General features: G+C 38.3%; 1 long non-coding RNA gene and 1 pseudogene across 6 annotated transcripts in view; both read right to left on the bottom strand.

Moving 5' to 3' along the window:
* LOC107983981 (uncharacterized) overlaps positions 1-23,739 on the bottom strand; it is a 417,903-nt gene that overhangs the window by 316,951 nt on the left and 77,213 nt on the right. The gene's annotated exons all lie outside the window — the stretch shown is intronic.
* Positions 18,162-19,185, bottom strand: RPSAP55 (ribosomal protein SA pseudogene 55; annotated as a pseudogene).

Here is a 23,739-nt window from a genome sequence, read left to right as displayed (position 1 = left end):
CCTATGTGTGTCTCTGCACGTGAGATGGGTCTCCTGAATACAGCACACTGATGGATCTTGACTCTATCCAATTTGCCAGTCTGTGTCTTTTAATTGGGGCATTTAGCCCATTTACATTAAAGGTTGATATTGTTATGTGTTAAGGTTGATATTGTTATGTGTGAATTTGATCCTGTCATTATGATGTTAGCTGGTTATTTTGACTGTTAGTTGATGCAGTTTCCTCCTAGCACCGATGGTCTTTACAATTCGGCATGCTTTTAGAGTGGCTGGTACCGATTGTTCCTTTCCATGTTTAGTGCTTCCTTCAAGAGTTCTTGTAAGGCAGGCCTGGTGGTGACAAAATCTCTCGGCATTTGTTTGTCTATAAAGGATTTTATTTATCCTTCACTTATGAAGCTTAGTGAAGCTTAGTTTGGCTGGATATGAAATTCTGGGTTGAAAATTCTTTTCTTTAGGAATGTTGAATATTGGCCCCTACTCTCTTCTAGCTTGTAAGGTTTCTGCCAAGAGATCTGCTGTTAGTCTGATGGGCTTCCCTTTGTGGGTAACCTGACCTTTCTCTCTGGCTGCCCTTAACATTTTTTCCTTCAATTCAACCTTGGTGAATCTGACAATTTGTGTCTTGGGGTTGCTCTTCTCGAGGAATATCTTTGTGGTGTTCTCTGTATCTCCTGAATTTGAATGTTGGCCTGCCCTGCTAGGTTGGGGAAGTTCTCCTGGATAATATCCTGAAGAGTGTTTTCTAACTTGGTTCCATTCTCTCCATCACTTTCTGGTACACCAATCAAATGTAGATTTGGTCTTTTCACATAGTCCCATATTTCTTGGAGGCTTTGTTCTTTTCTTTTCACTCTCTTTTCTCTAATCTTGTCTTCTCACTTTATTTCATTAATTTGATCTTCAATCACTGATATCCTTTCTTTCGCTTAATCAAATCAGCTATTGAAGCTTGTGTATGCTTCATGAAGTTCTCGTGCTGTGTTTTTCAGCTCCATCAGGTCATTTATTTTCTTCTCTACACTGGTTATTCTAGTTAGCCATTCCTCTAACCTTTTCTCAAGGTTTTTAGCTTCCTTGCAATGGGTTAGAACATACTCCTTTAGCTCAGAGGAGTTTGTTATTACCCACCTTCTGAACCCTACTTCTGTCAACTCATCAAACTCATTCTCCGTCCAGTTTTGTTCCCTTGCTAGCAACGAGTTGTGATCCTTCAGAGGACAAGAGGCGTTCTGGTTTTTGGAATTTTCTGCTTTTCTACTCTTGTTTCTCCCCATCTTTATGGTTTTTATCTACCTTCGTCTTTGATGTTGGTGACCTACAGATGGGGTTTTGATGGGGATGTCCTTTTTGTTGATGTTGATGCTATTCCTTTCTGTTTGTTAGTTTCCCTTCTAACAGTCAGGCCCCCCTAGCTGCAGATCTGTTGGAGTTTGCTGGAGGTTCACTCCAGACCCTGTTTGCCTGGGTATCACCAGCTGAGGCTGCAGAACAGCAAATATTGCTGCCTGATCCTTCCTCTGGAAGCTTCATCCCAGAGGGGCACCCACCAGATGCCAGCCAAAGCTCTCCTGTATGAGGTGTCTGTTGGCCCCTACTGGAAGGTGTCTCCCAGTCAGTCTACAGGGGGGTCAGGGACCCACTTGAGGATGTAGCCTGTCCATTATCAGAGCTCAAACGCCATGCTGGGACAACCACTGCTCTCTTCAGAGTTGTCAGGCAGGGACATTTAAGTCTGCAGAAGCTGTGCCCACAGCTGCCCCTTTCCCCAGGTGATCTGTCCCAGGGAGATGAGGGTTTTATCTATAAACTCCCTGGCTAGGGCTGCTGCCTTTTGTTCAGATATGCCCTGCCCACAGAAGTGGAATCTAGAGAGGCAGTCTGCCTTGCTGAGTTGCAGTGGGCTCTACCCAGTTCAATCTTCCCGGCAGCTTTATTTACACTGTGGGCATAAAACTGCCTACTCAAGCCTCACCAATGGCAGCCGCCCCTCCCTCCACCAAGCTCCAGTGTCCCAGGTCTATCTAAGACTGCTGCACTAGCAGCAAGAATTTCAAGCCAATAGATCTTAGCTTGCTGGGCTCTGTGGGCATGGGACCCAGTGAGCCAGGAACCAGAGGGAATCTCCTGGTCTGCCAGTTGTGAAGATCATGGGAGAAGCACAGTATTTGGGTAGGTGTGTACCGTTCCTCCTGGTACAGTCTCTCATGGCTTCCCTTCACTAGGAAAGGGAAATACCCTGACCCTTTGCACTTCCAGGGTGAGGCAATGCCCTGCCCTGCTCCAGCTCGCACTCCGTGGGCTGCACCTACTGTCCAACCAGTCTCAATGAGATGAACCAGGTACCTTAGTTGGAAATGCAGAAATCACCTGTCTTCTGCGTCGATCTCGCTGGGAGCTGCAGACTGGAGCTGTTCCTATTCGACCATCTTTGAACATATATTTAGCTGCTTTATTTATAATTACCATAAACTGGGAATTCAACTTCTGAATGGATAGACACACTGATATATCATACAATGGAACACTATAGAGTAATAAAAAGGAAAGATCTACTGATATACTTAGCAACATGAATGAATCTCAAATGCAATATGCTAAATGAAAGAAGCCAAACTCAAAAGACTGCATACTGTATGATTCCAATTACATGACATTCTTGAGAAGGCAAAACTGTGGGGTCAAACAACAAATCACTGCTTACCAGAGTCTGAAGGTGGGAGGAGGGGTTGACTCTAAAGTGGCATAAGGGAATTTTCTGGAATGTGACACTGTTTTATATCTTGATTGTAGGGTTGGTAACATCACTGTATGCATTTGTCAAAACTTGTAGAACCATACACTTAAAAAGATGGATTTTCTATTTATAAATTATACCTTAATAAAATGGTGAGCAGAGGAGAGGTGTGTTTGGTGCCATAGATTTGAAATTACTGAAACATTCTCTATTTCCATATAGTCAAGTAGAATTACATGTGTAGATGGCTTCCAAATCCACTAACAATAAATTTATAATCAAGGTTCTTATACCCATAACATACTTTTTTTGAGCTAGGCCAGGCAGCCACTTAAAACCGGCATGAAAAAAAGGATGAGTAGGCTACCCAACTCTACCTATTTGCTTAATAAGAATAAAGAAAGGTAATGAGGGAAGAAGGGTAGAAGGGAGGGATTTATATGTGCATGACTGCCACAACAGTATGCCTATAGACAAACTTTTTAACCACCAAGACATCTAAGAAATTCATACTAGCCTTAAAGTTTGTTCAACATGGTACCTGATAAAATCCATGTTAGTTTGGTGATTCCCTAATTTACTAATCCAGACAAACAGTCCTGTCAATGAGGGATTTATTCTAGGCAGTCAAGACACCATGTGTTATAGTCAATAAACATGAAAACATACATAATGCATACTTTGTAGCCTCAGTGATTTAAATGAGGAAATTCTAAAAGCTTGGAAATTTCTAAAAGTAACCCAAGTAACATTTACTTGCTTCAAGTTGGAGAAATAAGGTCAAACAGCTCCAATGCCAAGGGAACTTTACATTCATAATTTCCACTGTAAATAAATTTGCCCCAATCTTCTCTGACCATGATGGAATAAAACTAGAAATCAATAACAAGATAAATTTTGAAAGCTATACAAACACATAGAAATTAAACAATATGCTCCTGAATGACCAGTGGGCCAATGAAGAAATTAAGAAGGAAATTAAAAGATTCCTTGAAATGAATGATAATGAAAACGCAACATACCAAAATCCATGAGATACCTTGAAAGCAGAGGGACATGTATAGCTATAAGTGCCTGCATCAGAAAAAGTGGTAAAGCTTCAAATAAACAAGCTAAAAATGCATCTTAAAGAACTGGCAAAACAAGAGCAAACCAAACGCAAAATTAGTAGAAGAAAGAAATAATAAAGATCAGAGCAGAAATAAATAAAATTGGAACAAAGAAAATAATACAAAAGATCAACGAAATAAAAAGTTGGTTTTTGAAAAGAAAAACAAAATTCACAAACCTTTAGCCAGACTAAGAAAAAAAAAGAGAGAAGACCCAAATAGATAAAATCAGAGATAGAAAGGAAGACATTACAACTGATACCACAGAAATTAAAAGGATCATTAGAGGCTATGAAAAGCAACTATACACCAATATATTAGAAAACCTAGAAGAAATGGATAAATTCCTAGACATATACAACCTACCTAGATTAAACCATGAAGAAAACTAAAACCTGAGCAGCTCAATAACAAGTAATGAGATCAAAGCTGTAATAAAAAGTCTCCCTGTAAAGGAAAGTTCAGGACCCAGTGGCTTCACTGCTGAATTTTACCAAACATTTACAGAGGACTTAATAACAATCCTACTCAAACTATTTTGAAAAACAGAGGAGGGAATGCTTCCAAACTCATTCTGTTAGGCCAGTTTTACCCTGATACCAAGACCAGACAAAGACACATCAAACAAGAAAGCCACACCCCAATATCCCTGATGAACATTGATGCAAAAATCCCCAACAAAATACTAGCAAACAGAATTCAGCAACACCCTAAAAAGATCATTCATCATGACCAAGTATGATTTATCCCAGGAATGCAAGGATGGTTCAACATACAAAAAGCAATCAAATGTGATACATCACATCAACAGAATGAAGGACAAAAACCATACGATCATTTCAATTGATGATGAAAAAACATTTAATAAAATTCAACAACACTTCATGATAAAAAAAAAAGCCTAAAAAAACTGGGTATAGAAGGAACATACCTCAACGTAATAAAAGACATATATGACAGCCAGCAGCTAGTGGCAAAAAAATGGAGAAAACTGGGAGCCTTTCCTCTAAGATCTGAAACAAGACAAAGATGCCCACTTTCACCACTATTATTCAACATAGTACTGAAAGTCATAGCTAGAGCAATTAGACAAGAGAGATAAAGAGCATCCAAACTGAAAAAGAAGAAGTCAAATTATCCTTGTTTGCAAATGGTATGATCTTATATTTGGAAAATTGAAACAAAAACCTCAAGACTCTATCAAAAAAACTATTAGAACTGATTAAAAAATTCAATAAAGTTGCAGGATACAAAATCAACATACAAAAGTCAGTAGCATTTCTGTATGCCAATAGTGAACGATCTGAAAAAGAAATTTTTAAAAATCCCTGTTTATTAATATAATAGCTACAAATAATATAAAATTACTTAGGAATTAACCAAAGAAGTAAAAGATCCCTACCATAAAAGCTATAAAACATTTATGAAAGAAATTGAAGAGGACACAAAAAAATGAAAAGGTATTCCATGTTTATGGATTGGAAGAAGGAATATTGTTAAAATAATCATACTACCCAAAGCAATCTACAGTTTCAATGCAATCCCTATCAAAATACCAATAACATTCTTCGCAGAAATGGAAAAAATATCTAAAATTTATATGGAACCACAAAACAGCCATAATAGCCAAAGAAATCTTGAGCAAAAAGAGCAAAACTAGTATAGTTATATTACAGAGCTATAGTAACCAAGACAACATGATATTGGCATAAAAACAGACACATTGACCAACTGAACAGCATAGAGAACCCAGAAACAAATCCATACAATTACAGTGAACTCATTTTTGACAAAGATGTGAAGAACATACATTGGGGAAAGGATGGCCTCTTCAACAAATGGTCCTGGGAAAACTATGAATAGATATCTATATGCAGAAGAATGAAACTAGACTCCTGTCTTGTCATATACAAAAGTCAAATCAAAATGGATTAAAGGCTTAAGTCTAAATCCTCAAACAATGAAACTACTACAAGAAAACATTGAGGAGGCTCTCCAGGACATTGGACTAGGCAAAGATTTCTTGAGAATGTGGGTATTCCCCACAGGTACAGACAACCAAAGCAAAAATAAACAAATGGGATCACATCAAGTTAAATACCTTCTGCACACTAAAGGAAACAATCAAAAAAGTAAAAAGACGACCCTCAGCACAGGAGAAAATATTTTCAAACTAACAAGGGATTAATAACCTAGAATATGTAAGGAGTTCAAATAGCTCTATAGGAAAAAATCTAATAATTTGATTTTTAAATGAGCAAAAATCTGAATAGACATTTCTCAAAAGAAGATATACAAATGGTAAATAGGTACATGAAAAGATGCTCTACATTATTGATCATCAGAGAAATGCAAGCCAAAACTACAATGAGATATCTTCTCACCCTTGTTAAAATGGCTTTTACCCGAAAGACAGGTGATAACAAATGCTGGCAAGAATATGGAGAAAAGGAAACCTTCATACACTGTTGGTGGGAAAGTAAATTAGAACAACCACCGTGGAGAACAATTCAGAGGTTCCTCAAAAGACTAAAAACAGAGCTACCATATGATTCAGCAATCCCACTGCTAGGTATATACCCAACAGAAAGGAAATCAGTACATCAAAGAGATAGCTGCACTCCCATGTTTATTGTAGCACTATTCACAATACCCGAGATTTGGAAGCCACCTAAGTGTCCATCAACAGACGAATAGATTTAAAAAGCATGGTACAGATATACAATGAAGTACTATTCAACCATAAAAGAGAATAAGATTCTGTCATTTGCAACACATGGATAGAACTGGAAGTCATTATGATATGTGAAATAAGCCAAGCACAGAAAGACAAACTTCTCATGTTCTCACTTATTTGCAGGAGCCAAAAATTAAAACAATTAAATTCATGGAGATAGAGAGTAGAATGATGGTTACCAGAGACTGGGAAGGCTAGTGCTGGGGGTGGGGGGACAGTGGGTGGAGAAGTGGGAATGGTTAATCAGTACAAAAATAGTTAGAAAAAATGAGTAAGATATAGCATTTAATGGCACAACAGGGTGACTATAGTCGATAGTAATTTAATTGTACATTTTTAAATAACTAAATGAGTATAATCAGATCTTTTTATAACACAAAGGATAATTCCTTGAGGTGATGCATAACCCATTTACCCTGAAGTGACTGTTACACATTATATGCCTTTATCAAAATATCTCATGTACCCCATAAATATATATACCTATTATATACCCACAAAAAATAAAAATTTTAAAAATGTTTTTAAAAAAGAAATTTGTCCTAGAGTTTGCTGATTCTTAGGATTCACTGAGAGCAGTGAAACTTTGCTGGTCTACAAATTTCACATACAACACTTATTTCCACGATTTGGGACTATTCATTAAAGCCCCACAAGCAAATGGCACTGTGAAAACATGTCTGCCACTATTTCCGCACTAAAAAGATTACAATTTCAATAGACTGCATTTACATGGACAAAAGGCACACAATGGTACAATGGCCAACTGCAAATGATAATTTAATTAAATTGCTAATTCAATATCTTCTGTATGTAGGGATATTATGTAACAAATATTGGAGTATAGCTTAGCAGCCTCAATAGATACAGAAGGCTTAGTCAACACTATGCAAAAACCTGCCTGTTGAATGGGCCAGATTACTGGATATTAGATAAAGGAGGCAGCAAGGTTGTTGAGAGAAGGAATGAAATGAAGGATCAAGGAAAGAAGGAGAAATTATGTAGACAAGTAGGTCTAGTAAAGGTAATGTTTTAAAAGAAATTGTATTTTAAGGGTGTATTTTAATTGTTCAGTTTTGGGATGGTGGTCATGTGCTGAAAAAGGTACCAGAGGAAAACTATTTTCCAAGAGTGTTTGTAAAGGGAAAGGCCAGAGGCAAGGTGATCAGTCTGCAGATCAGAGAAAACAGACAGAGGCAGACAGCTCTAGAGAAAGGATGGCAAGAAGCGGAGGGTGATTCTGTGTTTCCCGCTATAAAGGAAAGCAAGCTGAGTCCAGAGTGCAAAGTAAAGGAATCCTACAATTGTGAAAATCAGAGACACTGATGACACTTTGAGATGAGACCTCAGAGACCAAAGAATATGCAGAGAGAACAGAAGTTGTCAAAGCTGGAAAGAGATCAGAAGGAAGGCAAGAGAGGCGACCATTCCCTCCAGTGCAAGCCTACCCTTGGTGGCCTTAGTGGAGTCTATTTCTGCAAAGTAAAAAGATGAAAGATGAAAACAACCACCCTAGGCAAGGGGTTGCATAAATCACATGTTTTCAAACTCTTTTTCAGGCCCAGAATATTTGCTCAAAGGGTGTCTTTGAACATGAATATGCGAACAAATACAGTCACATTTAACCTGCTAAATGCTCTCCTCCCACTCTAGCAGTGAAGACCCTGTACTAGCTCAGAATCCCTAAGACAAAGCTTAAAGCCACTGAATGTCACCCAAAGAGATGTTCCCTCTCTCCACATTTAAAAACTTTCCCAGGGTGCTGCTCAAATTAATACACAATGCCACACACTGCCCCCTCAAACAAATACATAGGACCCAGGTTTATCCACCTAAAGAACTCCCGTTCATTTTTCGTTAAATCCTTCAAGCATAGAGAATAATAAATGGTATTATTCTCTGTATGTTTGAAGTACAGCAATGTACCCACCACTCATATCTAATGAATGTGAATATTTTGCCATATTTTATTTCATCATTTTTAGGGAAATAAAACATTACAGGAACTATTAAGAACCTCTTTTTCCTCCTCCCTAATTCCATTCTCCTTCAGCCTCTCTCACCCCAGATTATCACTATCCTGACGCTGGGGTTTATTCTTGCTATCAGCAACTTCTTTCTTTTATTCTGCATGCATAGATTCCCAAACCCATGGTGTTATTTTCTGTTTATATAAAGGCATATGTTATACTGTGTTTATTCTTCTGCAGTGTGGTTTTTCACTTAACATGATGTTTTCAGGATTTATCTATATTGATACATATACATCTGGTTCATTTATTTTAAGGGCTAATTATGACTCTGTAATCTGACTATACCCCATTTATCCATTTTCCTATTGTCAATATTGAGAAATTTTACATTATAAAAAATGCTGTAATGAACATTCGTGTACTTGTCTTATTGTGTGCATGTTCAAGACTTTTTTTTAGGATGTAACTGAAGTGAAATCACTGAGTATAAACACATTGTAACCCGTTAAGCCTTAGTTCAGTTGTTACCTCCTTTGAGAGGCTTCCCTGGCCTGGTTGAGCACAGTTAAGTATTTTTCCTTTTCTTGTCCCAAAAGATCTTGCAAACGCCTCTCTCTTTTCCTGCATCCACAGGAATATTTGCAGGTTTGTATCCCCAAATGGTGTATGATCCTCCACAGACAGGGATACTGTGCCTAGCACATAATAGGCTATTAATCAGTGCTTGCTGAAGAAAATTAGAAGTTGATCAACAGAACAAAATGCCCTTAGATATGTGGGAAGATATGTGAATGGCAACTTGAATTCCAGGGGATGGCACAGATTTCACCTAGGGAGCTATACATAGCCAGGAGGGGACCCGAATCAAGAACTTAAGAGAAAAGAGACGGTGTAAGATCTGGGGAGAACCCAAAAATGAATCCAAGCCACTTCTGGGTCACACTGCAAAGGGAAACTAGCTAAGTCCAACACCTTAGAGGATACCATTATTGGTAATATAAAAATACAGTCTTAAAAGTAATGAAGACATTAGCTTGAGGCAAACCTAAGACAGAAGGTCATAGATGATAGAGGAAGGACCAGTGATTACAGTGGTTAGGTATGACTAAGAAAGATATTAAAGTAAATATAGATATTTAAGTCTCCATTTCACCCTAAATGCATCCGTTTTTCCAATTACGTGACTTTGTGGGCAAAAAAGAACTCTCATGTATTTTTACCAGGCATGTATAAATTGGTGTACACTTATTTGAAAATATCTAGCATAATAATTGTGAGCATCTTTTTTTTTCACCCCCAGTGGAAAAAGTAGAGTATATTTAATAAGTAGTACAAGCATAACTGGATGGGGGAATGAAATGTAATGTTGTGATCATCTTTTGACAGTTAATACCACTGCTAGAATTTATCCTGTAAATAAACGTTTATAAAATTATAAAACAATTATAGTAGTAAAAGTTATAAATAACCCAAATGCTCATCAATAGAGGGCAATATCAATTATCAGCCATCCACTGAGTGGAATATTACATAACTATTAGAAAGAATACATCAGAGTTACTTCTGGAAAAGGGGCTTATGGGTATGTTAAGTTGGAAAATGATGCTGTTAAGTCTTAAAAGCAAGGAACAAGACAACATGCAAAGTATAATCCCATTTACATAAAACACATACATGCTAGAGGAAGGCTGTGGAAAATTAATAGTGGTTATCTTTGGGTTTGCAGGGTATAGGGGGAGTAGAATTAGCTACTTCTGTGACCCAGAAGTGGCTTGGATTCATTTTTGTGTTCTCCTCAGATCTTACACAATCTCTTTTCTCTTAACTTCTTGATTTGGGTCCCCTCCTGGCTATGTATAGCTGCCTAGATATACATTTGGATATTTGCGTGTGTGCTATTGAGACAGAATTGAGACAGAATGTAATATGTAAAAAGTTATGATTCTTTTGACATTTTGAGAAGAGGATAAAGTGAAAAATTATGTCACTCTCTTACAGTCAATAAGAAATGCCATGGCCTATATTGTTTGTCCAGGCTTTGGGTCATTTCCCAGGCTCCATATTGACTTAAAATAGTAAATCCTGACAAGGAATAATTTTTTTTAATGAGCAACCTCTTACCAGAAGAAACTGGGCTTCTGTGTATTTAAACAAGCCATGAGAATTCCCTGCAGCTTTTCCAGCCAAATCAGAACATTGCCCAAGTCAGGTATCATTTCAACTTATTTGTAAAACTCAAGGCTAATGAACAAAATACAGAGCAATTCAACTCAGGGTTACATTTCCTTAATATTTAGATAAATATCACATTGCAAACAATTGTATTGTCTTTGATTATTCAAATACACATACACACAGATTGAGGTAGCACAATTGGGTTTTATCTTGTATACAAATAGAACAGAACCTATTCAATTTTATCCAATGCTCTCCTGAGCACTTTTTTCCCTCTTCCCTTGAGTACAAGCCCATCCTAGCAGGGGCTGATGTATCCCTGTGGGATTTGGTGCAATATTTTGTCGTTCTGATTGAAATGTGTGCTGTCTGGTCCCTATAGTTTAATTTAGAACAATTAAGGCTCAGGGTACATGAGCTGGTAAAGCACATTACAAACAATGGCTGCAGAATAAACTGCAGATCAATCCACACTAAATCACCCTGAAAATCCCTGCCAGCACCACAAAGCCATCCCGATTCCAGCCCTTCCTCCATCTCCGCTGCACTAAGGAAGTCTCCATTGTTCAGTTTTGTAATTATTTTGCAGAAGTGTTTATCCTCCCAGACATAAAACTTTACAATCTTGGGCTGAGGGTTAGGGGCACATAGGAAAAGGATGCTGAGGGGGATATGGCTCCATTCATAATGATATTGCCCCACAAATGGAGCGTGCTTTTTCCATTTCCCAACTCTGATACTGGCACGCTGTCCAAACCTGTCACCACATCTTGGCTGAGCACATAGGGGAAATATTTGCTCTTTCATTCATCATCTTGTTTATTTATTTATTTTGATGCCTAAGTGGGCATCTCTTCCTTCCTCATGCCTCCATATGTATCCACCCCATAAAGCTGTCTACTTTGTCAGAGAGATTGAGCTGCCAGATAAAAGAACTACCTTCAGTTGCAATCCACAAACATCTCATGAACCCACCTTCAGTACCATTTTTTATTGTTTAAATGAAAGAGCACTAAAGTAAAGAGCTAATCGTGTTGTCTGTGTAGGGGCACTGCAGGGCTGGCACAAACAATGTTTTCAAATTCCAAAGAAGTTGTAAAAGCAAAGCATAACATCGAAATTTTTAATGTGCACATTTTTTTCATTTAGCAATTCCACTATTAGGGATTTTTCCAATAGAACTATTTTCCCAAGAAGGCAAATATATGTACATGAACATTTCTTGAAATATTATATTAGTGTAGTGAAAAAAGTTATAACAAATATAAATTCCATCAAGAGGAGAATGGATAGATAATGCATGATGAACTCACATGATAGAAACTGTGCAATCCTTAGAAATGTAGATCTACATGAAGTGAGATGACAAAGGGCCTTAAGATACAGCTAAATTTAAAAACGAGTATGAGCCCATTTTTGTTAAGTGCCTATACATTAGCATAGACAATTTTTAAATCAAGAAAAACAGATACCAAACTCAATAACAATAGTTAACTCTGAAGGTGGAATTCCAGGGACTTTTTTTTCTTTATATATTTTGGTATCATTTAATTTTTTACAAAAAGTATATGTTACTTTTATAATCAGAAAATATATGCATATATAGATAAGTATATAAATATATATATATAGTAAAGTATATATTTATATCTTATATGTATAGAAAAGCATTATATAAATGATGGAATTACCTTCTCTTTTGCCTTGTTTCTCTATCCATTCATCCTTTAAACAAAGAGTTATTAAAAGCCTGTTGATGTGTTGAGTGCCACTATTCTAGGTTCTGAGAATGCAAAAATAAACCTTTTATAGAGATTATAATCTAGTGGTAGGAAATACCACTGCTCTACACACCTCCATTAAAGCCCATAATCTTGGGTTGGCTTCATGATCGAGTCAGATAAAGAATCCAGATAATGATCTAGATTGATGCACGATCTTATTTTCTCAAACTCACCTATTATAGACAGACTTAAAGATAATAGCTGTCCTCCTATAATTTAGGTGCTGGTCATTTGCAATCACTTCAGCCTCTGGATGCTCATCTTCTTGAGGTTTACCAATAGAAGAACTACAATCACTAGCTTTATTCAGCACTTACCGCATGACAGTGCACCAGATTCTTTACCTACATTATCTCATGTCATTCTTAACAGTCTTATGAAATAACTACCATCACATATTTTATCTTTTTTTTTTTTTTTTTTTTTTACAGATCTGATGGCAGAGATCTGCCTAGGACTCCCAGCTAATATATGGCCAAGCCGAGACTACATACAGTCCAAGCCTCAGACCTCTACAGCTGTTCTGGGAATACAGTAGGTGCTCACACCAGAAGTGGTCACTGCAGTAGCTGGTAGTTCTAGTAACATTTTCTAAGCTGTCAGCCTGTGAAAGGAAACTGATGAAGCAAGGGAAAAACAAAACACAATTATGAGATTTGGAAAGTCCATGCCAGTAACCTGTCAAACTCATGATTTATGAAAAGCATTAATGAAGTATAAACAATTCCAGGTGGGTCATTCAATCAAGCTCTTGATGTTTAGCTTTCACTGTTTAGAATCTGGGTGGCTACTAAATAGAATACTAATTCCTTATGGGAGAAAACTTCAGATTGAATTATGTTGTAATTATGAACTCGGGATAGGGGGTTAACATGTGAGTAAGTTTGTGTGCTGGGCATGTCTGTTGGCTTCAAGGCCATGTTCCATCACATCAAGCCCTCAAAGAATGCAGGGTGCTCTGCATTCCAGTCTAAGCTGCAACTACAGGATTTGAAATGTGGACCCATCTCACCTCCAGCATCCTCCCCAGCCAATGAGGATCCTGGAGCTGTCCACATCACAGCATGGCATGGCAATATGTGGAAGCCAGTGAAACAAGCAATCCTCATTGGGTTTCTACCTCATAACCCTTCCAGATTCAACATCCTCCCCAATCTCATCCAGTGAATAATCTTTTAGGACCTACTATATGCTAGAAACTATGCTTCAATGCAAAGTGTAAAAAGCACATCTCTATACCCTAAGTAGTTCGAAGTCTGGTCAAGGATCTCAATTCTGGTAGGGCATCTACAGATAATTTCCCAGATACTATATTTCTAGCACACCACTCCCTTCTTAAGAACCATTAATGGCTATTTACCTACTCTCAGATCAAATGTAAAACCTACCCTGCCTTCAAGACCCAAAGTTGACCTGACTCCTTTGTAAAACTCTCCAGACTAATTCCAGTTCACAACTGTCTTTTCTTAATTCTGCATCACTTCAGCATCAGTACTTAAACTCTGCTTTTAGTCTCAGAGTTTTTCTTATCCCCGTGCTGGAAACACAATTGGACTTTAAAGACATTTTAATCAAATTAATAAAGAAAAAGCCATTATACAGGGAGAAAGGGGGAATGGTTATTAAAATATTCTTTCTGTTCTCATAATGCAGTTAGGCTCCTTTTGTTCACTATCAAATTGATCAGAAAAAATAATTAATAGGCACTACGCTTAATACCAGGGTGACAAAATAATCTGTACAACAAATCCCCATGACAAAAGTTTACCTGCATAACAAACCTGCTCTTGTAGCCCTGAACTTAAACGTTAAATTAAAAAATAAAACAAATTGCCAGTTCCTCATATGCTCCCAGAGTTTTCAGAACCAAACAGGTCCTGAGATGTCATCCAGTTCAACCTCTCATTTCCTAGATGAGCAAATTACCCTCCAGGAGGAAAATGATATGTGGGTTGCAAAACCATCCACTTATGAACTCAATAAATATTGTATGCCAGCACCATACTAGACCCTGGGGAAATTGTCAGTCTCTACCCTTGTGGAGTTTGCATTCTAATAAGAAAGAAAGTAAACAGGTTAGTATATGCTGTCATTTCAAGTAGAGGTGAGTGCCATGAGGAACAATAAGAAAGAGTAAAGAGATGGTGGGGTTGGCATGTTATTTTACATCAGACATCAGGAAGAGGGAGTAGCAAGTGCAAAAGTCCTGAGGCAAGAATGAATTTAGCGCGCTTAAGTGACTGACAGAAGACTGGTGTCATTGGAGTGTAGTGAATGAGGGTGTAAGAGAGTTTAAAGACATAGAAAAGTCCATATTTTTAGGGTCATATGATAGACTTCATTTCATACTAAGTGTGATAGGAAGCCGTTTGCAGAATCTTACATACAAGAGTGACATGACTGTATTACTTTTTTAAAACCACTTGATTAAAATGATTGTCATATCAAAATCTGTACATACTTAATATATATAGCCTGATCAGTTTGGAGATAATTATATACGCCTGAAACTACCACCAAAATCTCTTCTGTAAATCTATCCGTCACCTCCAAAAGTTTCCTTCTGCCCTCTTTATTTATTAGGATTTCTTTGTGATGAGAACATTTAACATAAGATCTACCAGAAGGTAGAAGCAAATTTTTAAGTATACAGTACTTACTAACTTTATGCACTATGTTACACAGTAGATCTCTTGGACACGTTTATCTTGTATAACCAAACTTTGTACCCTTTGACTAATACTTCTTCATTTCCTCCTCCCCCTAGCCTCTGGCAATCACCATTCCAAGCTCTGCTTCTATGAGTTTGGCTATTTTTAATTCATCATATAAGTGAGATCATAAAGTATTTGCCCTTCTGTGTTTGGTTTATTTCATTTAGCATAATGTCCTCCAAGTTTATCTATGTTGTCACAAATGGTGGGGTTTCCTTCTTCTTGACGTCTCAATAATATTCTATTGCATGTATATACCATTTTCTTTATCCATTTATCTAAAAATGGACATTTAAGTAGTTTTCATATCTTGGCTATTGTGAATAATGCTGCAATAAGCATGGGAGTGCAGATAGCTTTCCAAGATCCTGATTTCAATTCCTTTGAATATATATCCAAAAGTTGGATTGCAGGTTCGTGTGGCAGTTCTGATTTTGAATTTTTTGAGAAATCTGGATACTGTTTTCCATAGTGGCTGTACCAACTTACATTGACACCAGCAGTGTACAAGTGTTCCCCTTCCACTACATCCTTAATGACATTTGTTATCCTTTGGATTTTTTTTAATAATAGCCAGCAAAACAGGTGTGAAGTAGATATCTCATGTGGTTTTATTGCATTTCCCTGATGATTACTGATGTTGAGCAACTTTTCATACACCTGTTGATCATTTGTATATCTTATTTGGAGAAATGTCTATTCAGTTCCTTTGCCGATTTTTGAATCAGATTATTTGTGTTTTCACTATTGAGTTGTATGAATTTCTCATATATTTTGAATATTAACTCTTTAGCAAATATATGTTTTACAAATATATTCTTCCACTGCATAAGCTGCCTTTTTATTTTGTTGATTGTTTCCTTCATACAACTCTTTCATCTCCTTGGTTATGTTTATTTCTCAGTATTTTTATGCTTGTAAATAAGATTGCTTTTTAAATTTCTTTTTGGATAATTCATTGTTAGTGTATAGAAATACTATAATTTTTGTATATTGTTTTTTTTACCCTGAAATTTTACTGAATTTATTTATTAGTTCTACCAGTTTTTTATGGAGTCTTTAGGGTTTTCTACATATAAGATCATGCCATCTGCAAACAAAGATAATTTTATTTCTTCTCCTCTGATTTGGATGCCTTTTATTTCCTTTTCTTGTCTAATTGCTCCAGCTATAACTTTTAGTACTATATCTCATATAAGTGGCAAGAGCGGACATCCTTGTCTTGTTCCTGATCTTAAAGGAAAAGCTTTCAGTTTTTCATCATTGAGTATGTTAGCTATTGGCTTGTCATACACGGTCTTTTTATGTTGAGGTACAGTCTTATACTTAACTTGCTGATAGTGTTTATCATGAAAGGGTGCTAAATTTTGTCAGATGCTTCTTTTGCGTCTATTGAGAAGACAATGTGATTTTTATTCTTCATTCTGTTGATGTGGTATATGCATTAATTGATTTGCTTGTGTTGAAAATGCTAATATTTTTCAGGATTTTTGCTTCCATGTTCATCGGGTATATTGGCCTGTAGTTTTCTTCTGGCATCTTTGTCTGGCTTTGCTAGCAGGGTGATGCTAGCCTCATAAAAAGAATTTGGAATGTTTTATTCTATTATTTGGATTTTCAAATTATTGGTATTAGTGGCTGAATGTGGTGGCTCACACCTGTAATCCAAGCTACTAGAGAGGCTGAGGCAGAAGGATCACTTGAGCCCAGGAGTTTGAGGTTACAGTGAGGTATGATCATGCCACTGCAGTTCAGCCTGGGTGACGGAGTGAAACCCAGTCTTAAATAAATAAATAAAAATTAAAAAATAAAAAGAATTGGCATTAATTCTTCTTTAAATATTTGGTAGAATTGACCTGTGAGGCTATCTGGTTTTTCTTTATTAAAAAGTTTTTCATTACTGAGTAAATCTTCTTATTTGTCACTGCTCTGATTAGACTTTCTGTTTCTTCTTGATTCAGTTGTGATCAGTTGTATGTTTCTAGGAATGTATCTATTTCTCCTAGTTATCTAATTTGTTGGTGTATTATTGCTCATAATAGTCTTTTATGATCTCTTTATTTCTAAGTCATTAGTATTACATTTTTAAAAGATCATTCTGTATCTTTTAACGATCAGAAACTCTCATTCATTGCTAGTGGGAATGTAAAATGGTACGACCACTTTGAAAGACAGTTTTGCAGTTGTTTAGAAAACTAAACACATTCTTATTATATGATCCAGCAATAACATTCCTTAGGATTTACTCAAAGGAGTTGAAAAACTATGTTCACACAAAAACCTGCACACATATGTTTATAGCAGCTTTATTCATAATTGCCAAAATGTGGAAGCAACCAAGATGTCTTTCAGTAGGTAAATGAATAAATAAACCGTGGTACATTTAGACAATAGATGGAATATTATTCAGCACTAAAAAGAAATGAGCTATCAAGCCAGAAAAAAGACATAGAAGAAACTTAATTGTGTATTACTAAAAGAAAGAAGCCCACCTGAGAAGGCTACATGTTGTATGATTCCAACCATATGACATTCTGTAAAAGGCAAAACTATGGTAACAGTAATAAGATCAGTGGTTGCCAGGGATTGTGGGGAGGGAGAGATGAGTAGGCAGGGCACAAAAGATTTGTAGGGCAGTGAAACAATTCTGTATTACACGGTAGTGGTGGACACATCACATTATTCATTTGCCAAAGCCCAGAGAATGTTCAACACCAAGAGTGAGCTCTAATTTAAACTATAGATTTTGGGTAATTATAATGCATCAGTGTATGTTAAGCAATTGTAACAAATGTACCGCTCTGGTGAAAGAGGTTTATAATGGTAGAGGCTGTGCATGGGAAGCGAGAGGGGTGTAAAATGGAAACATTTCAGTATCTTTAACTCAATTTTGCTGTGAACCTAAAACTTCTCTAAAAATTAAGTATTTTTGTTTAGAAACTGATGTTTATTTTCCATCAACCTTATTTCCATGTTGCTTAAGAGCCCGTGCAAGAACAGCTTAAGACCATTCAGTGGTTGCTCCTACCCATTCAGTGGCCTGAGCAGTGGGAGCTGCAGACCAGTCTTCCGTGGCAGGCTGAGCACTCCAGTCTTCCGTAGGGAACCTCTGAATAGGCACAGAGGGTGCCTGCACTCCTTCAGACCAGCCTGCAACCTTAGGCTGAGTAGCAGTGAACTCAGGAGCTAGAGCAGTCCATTCACCCTGAAATTCCTCCTTGGTCACAGCCTTTTCAACAGCAGCCTGCTTTTCTTTTTCAGTCTCTTCAGGATCTCTGTAGAAGTAGAGATCAGGCATTACCTCCCACAGGTGTTCACAGGAAATGGTGCCACACATGTGCAGAACTTTGCAAGCCAGCATCCACCACATCAAACCCACTGAGTGAGCTCCCTTGTTGTTGCATGGGATGGCAATGTCCACATAGCGCAAAGGAGAATCTGTGTTACACAGAGCAATGGTAGGTAGGTTAACATAAGATGCCTCCATGAGAGGCTGGTGGTCAGCCCTGGGATCAGTAACCACAAGAACCCGTGGCTCCCAGAAGGTTGCCTGGATCTGGTTAGTGAAAGTTCCAGGAGTGAAGCAGCCAGCAATTGGAGTGTCTCCTGTGGCAGCAACAAACTTCAGCATGGCCCTCTGGCCAGTATTCCTGGAGGATATGACACTGACATCAGCAGGGTTTTCAATGGCAACAATGGCACGAGCTGACAGCAGAAGCTTCTCCCAGGTCCTCTTCAGATTTATGATGTGGATGCCATCACTTTTCCTTTTACAGATGTACCATTCCATCTGGAAGTCAAGATTGGTGCCACCTAAGTTGGTTCCTGCTGCAAGGACATCCTCCTCCTTCATTTGCAGGGCATCAAGGGCTCCAGACATTGTGAAAGTTTCCCTTTAAGTTACGACAGGAATCCAGAACAATGCCATTTTGACCCCTCTGTGAGTAGTGCAGAAAGGCAAAATTAAGTATTTTTTAATAAAGATCATTCTGGAAGCTGTATGAAAGTGAAATAGAGACAGTTGAAGGTAGAAGTAGAGAAATAAGTGAGGAAGCTACTGTTAGTCTAGTTAGGAAATCAAGGAATCCAGCACTGAGATGGCAGTGGTTGGGGTAGGGGAGACAGGAGCAGAATTGGAGAATGTTTTGAAGGTAGAACTGACAGGTTTGTTGATGGACTAGATGTTGATGGAAATTTGAAGGAAAAACAGATTTTTGATCTGATAATACTAAGAAAGGAAAACTAAGGGAGAAACAGATTTGGAATGGAATCAAAATATCTGCCCTGGATATTGACTAGAAGTCAGCATGCCAGTGTGGAAGCAAAAGGGATTTAAAGAGTCACAGGCAAGAACTCAAACACTCACCAGCTAGAATCCTCAACTAGAAACCCAGAATCCAGAACCATAAACCAGAATACTGAAATGCTACAGCCTCTGTCCCTTTCTTCTGGAAATCAGGAGACAAGGACCACAGGAAGGGAAATAGATCCAATTGCATATGCCTTCTGAGAGTTGAGGTAAGCTGGTATGCTTGTATAAGCCTGGTGCACTCTCCTGCCCAAGATGAAAGTAAACTCTATGTTGCCGTAGCAAGAAAGCTGCTTAAACCTTCAGCACAATAACCCAGTGCCAGACCATGTGCCCAGACAAGGACACAGAAAAGAACTCATTAGATGGAGAATAAGGCAATGCCTTTTGCCTTGGGAAAGTTGGGACCTTCCACAAGTAAAATGGATTCAACCACCATGAACTAATGGGTGAAGCCCTGTGTTGGGTACTACAGGGCAGCTTCAGAGGTGTATAAGACAAACCCCAGATCTTCAAAGAGATGTTAGCCACGTGGACTTCAGAACATGGCTAGAAGCTGGACATCTGATCCTGACATGTGAGAGAAAAATCCTCACCCCACACCAACCTCCACCTTCACACCTTCCTGGAATCTTTTTGCAGAAAGTAAGTTGAGTTTTCCAATATACTATGTTAAAAGGCATCATGGGGGTGTGAACTTGAGAAAGTTTGGACTGAACTCCTATCTCTACCATCTGCTTCTGCCAGTCCTGGCTTCCTGCTACAAGAGTACACATTGACATGTCGATCAAAGCTTTCTTCATAGCAGGGAGGTAAAGAGGCCTATAAAGAGATGGGGAGGCCAGGTGCAGTGGCTTATGTCTGTAATCCCAGCACTTTGGGAGGCTGAGGCTGGCGGATCACCTGAGGTCAGGAGTTTGAGACCGCCCTGGCCAACATGGCGAAACCCTGTCTCTACTAAAAAAATACAAAAATTAGCTGGGAGTGGTGATGGGCACCTGTAATCCCAGCTACTTGGGAGGCTGAGGCAGGAGAATCACTTGAACCCGGGAGGCAGAGGTTGCAGTGAGCTGACATTGCGCCATTGCACTCCAGGCCTGGGGTATAGAGCGAGACTCCGTCTGGAAAAAAAAAAAAAAAAAAAGATGATGGGGAGTGATTTTCACAACTGCTTGACATAGCATCCTTCAAGAGCCCAATGGTCAGGCTCTCCATCCCTTCTTAAGGGGTCCTGGGTTCTGCTCCTCATGCTTCTGACCTATAAGGAGGTTCTGTTCTTGATTTTTTTTAATCAAATGGGCACTATAACATTGTGCATTATAGCATTTGCATGGGCCAATTACCTGCCTGGTCTACCTTCCTTCTCCAGTCCTTCACCTGCGACAGGCATCACTAATTAAACATGGTATACTTTTCCACTGAGCAAGGATGCAACCTCAGAAATCCTTTTCATCATGTCACTATAGGCAGCACTGCTCATCAAAATTACCATGTGAGGTAAAAACCTATTTCCCATCTCTGGCATAGTAGTCAGCAGCAGAGAGTTTAGAATCAAATACAGTTCTGAATCCTGGATCTGTCATTATTGGTCTTGGGACCTTGGATCTCAGGTTCACTGTTTATTAGCTGTTTAACTTTGGACACATTAACTAAATCCTCTAAGTCTCAGTTTCTTCATCTTCTGTTCTTCAGAAGAAAAGCCCATGTGCCTATGAAAGCTTAGGTCATGGGGACATATTTAGATTGAGGGGAATCAGGCAAGGCTTCCCTGAAGAGAGAGAACTTGGGCTGAGACATGGGCAAAGATGGGAGTGCTCTCTCTCCTCAAGAAGAAAAGATGAGCATCAGAGAAGATCCGTGAGGACCAAGCATGGAGCTCACAGTGTTGACAGGCAAGGGCCACACCACTTAAGGCTTTTAGAAGATGTTAAGAATTGTGGTCATTGTCCAAAATGCCATGGTTGACCATACAAAGGATCAAGCAGGATGGGAGATGTGATTAATTTCCAAACTGGAAGACACGTCAACTGAATCTCCTATGGCAAAAATGTATCAGTGACCAGTAAGGACAAGGGTGGAGAGGAGAGGACCAGTTAGGAAGCTACTATAGTGCTTAGGGAAAAAGTCATGGTGACTCAGACTAGTGAGGCAACTTTGGAGCCTGAAAGAAGCAGAGAGAAATCAGAAATATATAAAAGGCTACACTGAGGAGGACTTGGTGATGAATTTAGGGTAAGGTCAAAGATGACTCCTGGAGTTTTGGCGTAGCCTTCTGGGTGAATAGTGGTAGCATTTGCTAAGACAATAAACACCAAAGAAGACCACATACTTTTTATTTTGTTTTTCTGTGGGGGAAAATCTGTAGATCCAAGTAAAAGGGTTAGTCAGTTAAATATACAATAGCAAGAATGAAAACTAAATATGAAATAATGAAGTCCAAAATCAGTCATGCTTGCATATTTAACCAATGCTTGAACCGACGTATACTCCCAAAAGCCCCCCTCCCTGAGATCACCAAGAGAAGAGAATTCCAGCGGATCTTCTGAGTCCAGCTTAAACACATAAAATCCACAGCAGTGCTGACACCTACCCAAATGCCTACACTGAGAACACTTGTTCTTGCTACTTTTGCACAGAGTCTGGATGCTAAGTAATTGGTCCTTGAATCGTAGAAGGCTAGGCCTAAGAGAACGCTGCTCTCTGGCCATGTGGAGATATACTGGGATGCAGCAAGCTAGAAAGACAAGGTGCTAACCTCGGATAAAGGACACCTGGATAATCACCCTACCCACTAACACTTTGCGGGCCTCATTTTACAGATACAAAAGTTGAGGCCCTTAGAAGTGAAATGACTTGTCCAAGTTTACAATGGGAGTTAGTTGCAAGACAAGGACCTAAATCTATACACTCCCAAAACTTCTTAGCACTTGCATTTTTCAACATTTTTAAAATCTACAATCACTCATGGAAAGTAAATGGAAGTGTTATTAGCAAACCCATGAGTTTAACCTCTGTTCAGACTTCAGGTTTCATTCATTCATTCAACAAACACACACTCATTCAACAAACACACAGTACCTACTGCCAGGCACAAGGCCAAAGAGAAAGTTGGTATAAATTCGGACCTTAGTTAGTCCAAGGACTGGACAAAGGACTTGACTGTGCAAGTGAAATATAAAGTTTAGAAAATTAAATCATATTTGTAGGAATTCGAAAACTTTTTCCAGCTTTCTAAAGATACTTTCCAAAGATCCGCATAAGAATTCACTTTCATCAAGTGATTTGTCTTCATGAAGCCTGAAGTTTAGAAGCTCAAGTAGCCACAAGGATTTGATTTTCATGGAGGGCAAGAGCACACAAAAGGTTTGACTCCTACCTGCTTTCTGCAAGGAACATGCTCCCTCACATAGGATCAGAAAGATTGTGTTCCACAAGTAACAATGGCCCTGTCACACGAGGGTCATAGATTTAGTTCAGAGAGGCCTCTGGAAGTTCAGATCTCTATCAGGAACAGCCCAATGTATTTGAGCCCCTTTGATATCGGGTTATAAGGATGAAAACAGAATTTGTGACACTAGGTACCTCTGATGAACCACAGTAGGCAAGGAGTCTTTATTGCTATTCTGCCTGGAGTCAGCTAAAAAAAGAAACTGAATTAAAAATAAGAGCAAAGGAAAAGATTAAGTGGGGCTTCCCAAAGCTTAAACTTGCTGCTCTAGTTTGTGTTTTGCACAAACTTCATATTCTTTGTTTCTTCAGCCCCCTACATGGGACTCTGGATTACTTATATACTATCATTTAAGTTATGACTAAAGGCAAATTGGAGTGTTCACCACACCACACAAGCATTCTTAAACTTCTCCTTAGGCTTGCATTGCCTACACAAATTTAAGGCCAAAATGGGTAAGTTTGATAACAAAAAATGAATGTGACATTTCACAGCCATGAAAATTAAAATTATGAGGCCTAGACAGCAATGTAAAAAAAATTTTTATGATACGTTATTAGTAAAAGAATTTAAATGATCACATATGCTTTGATTGTGACTCATGAAAACAGGTTTGAATTCAATAAGACTAGATATCCAACTAGCATATTGCTATTTGTAAATGATCAAGTGTTGGATTAAAGTGATAGGCTTAAGGATTAGTAGAAAAGAAGGAATATTTTTCAGTGTTCTTTAATTTGTTCCAGGGTTTTT

This window comes from Homo sapiens, chromosome 15 (genome assembly GCF_000001405.40).
Source record: "Homo sapiens chromosome 15, GRCh38.p14 Primary Assembly".
Classification (NCBI taxonomy): Eukaryota; Metazoa; Chordata; class Mammalia; order Primates; family Hominidae; genus Homo; species Homo sapiens.
Note: the sequence above shows the minus strand (reverse complement) of the source record. Positions and strands in the feature narration are given on the sequence as shown.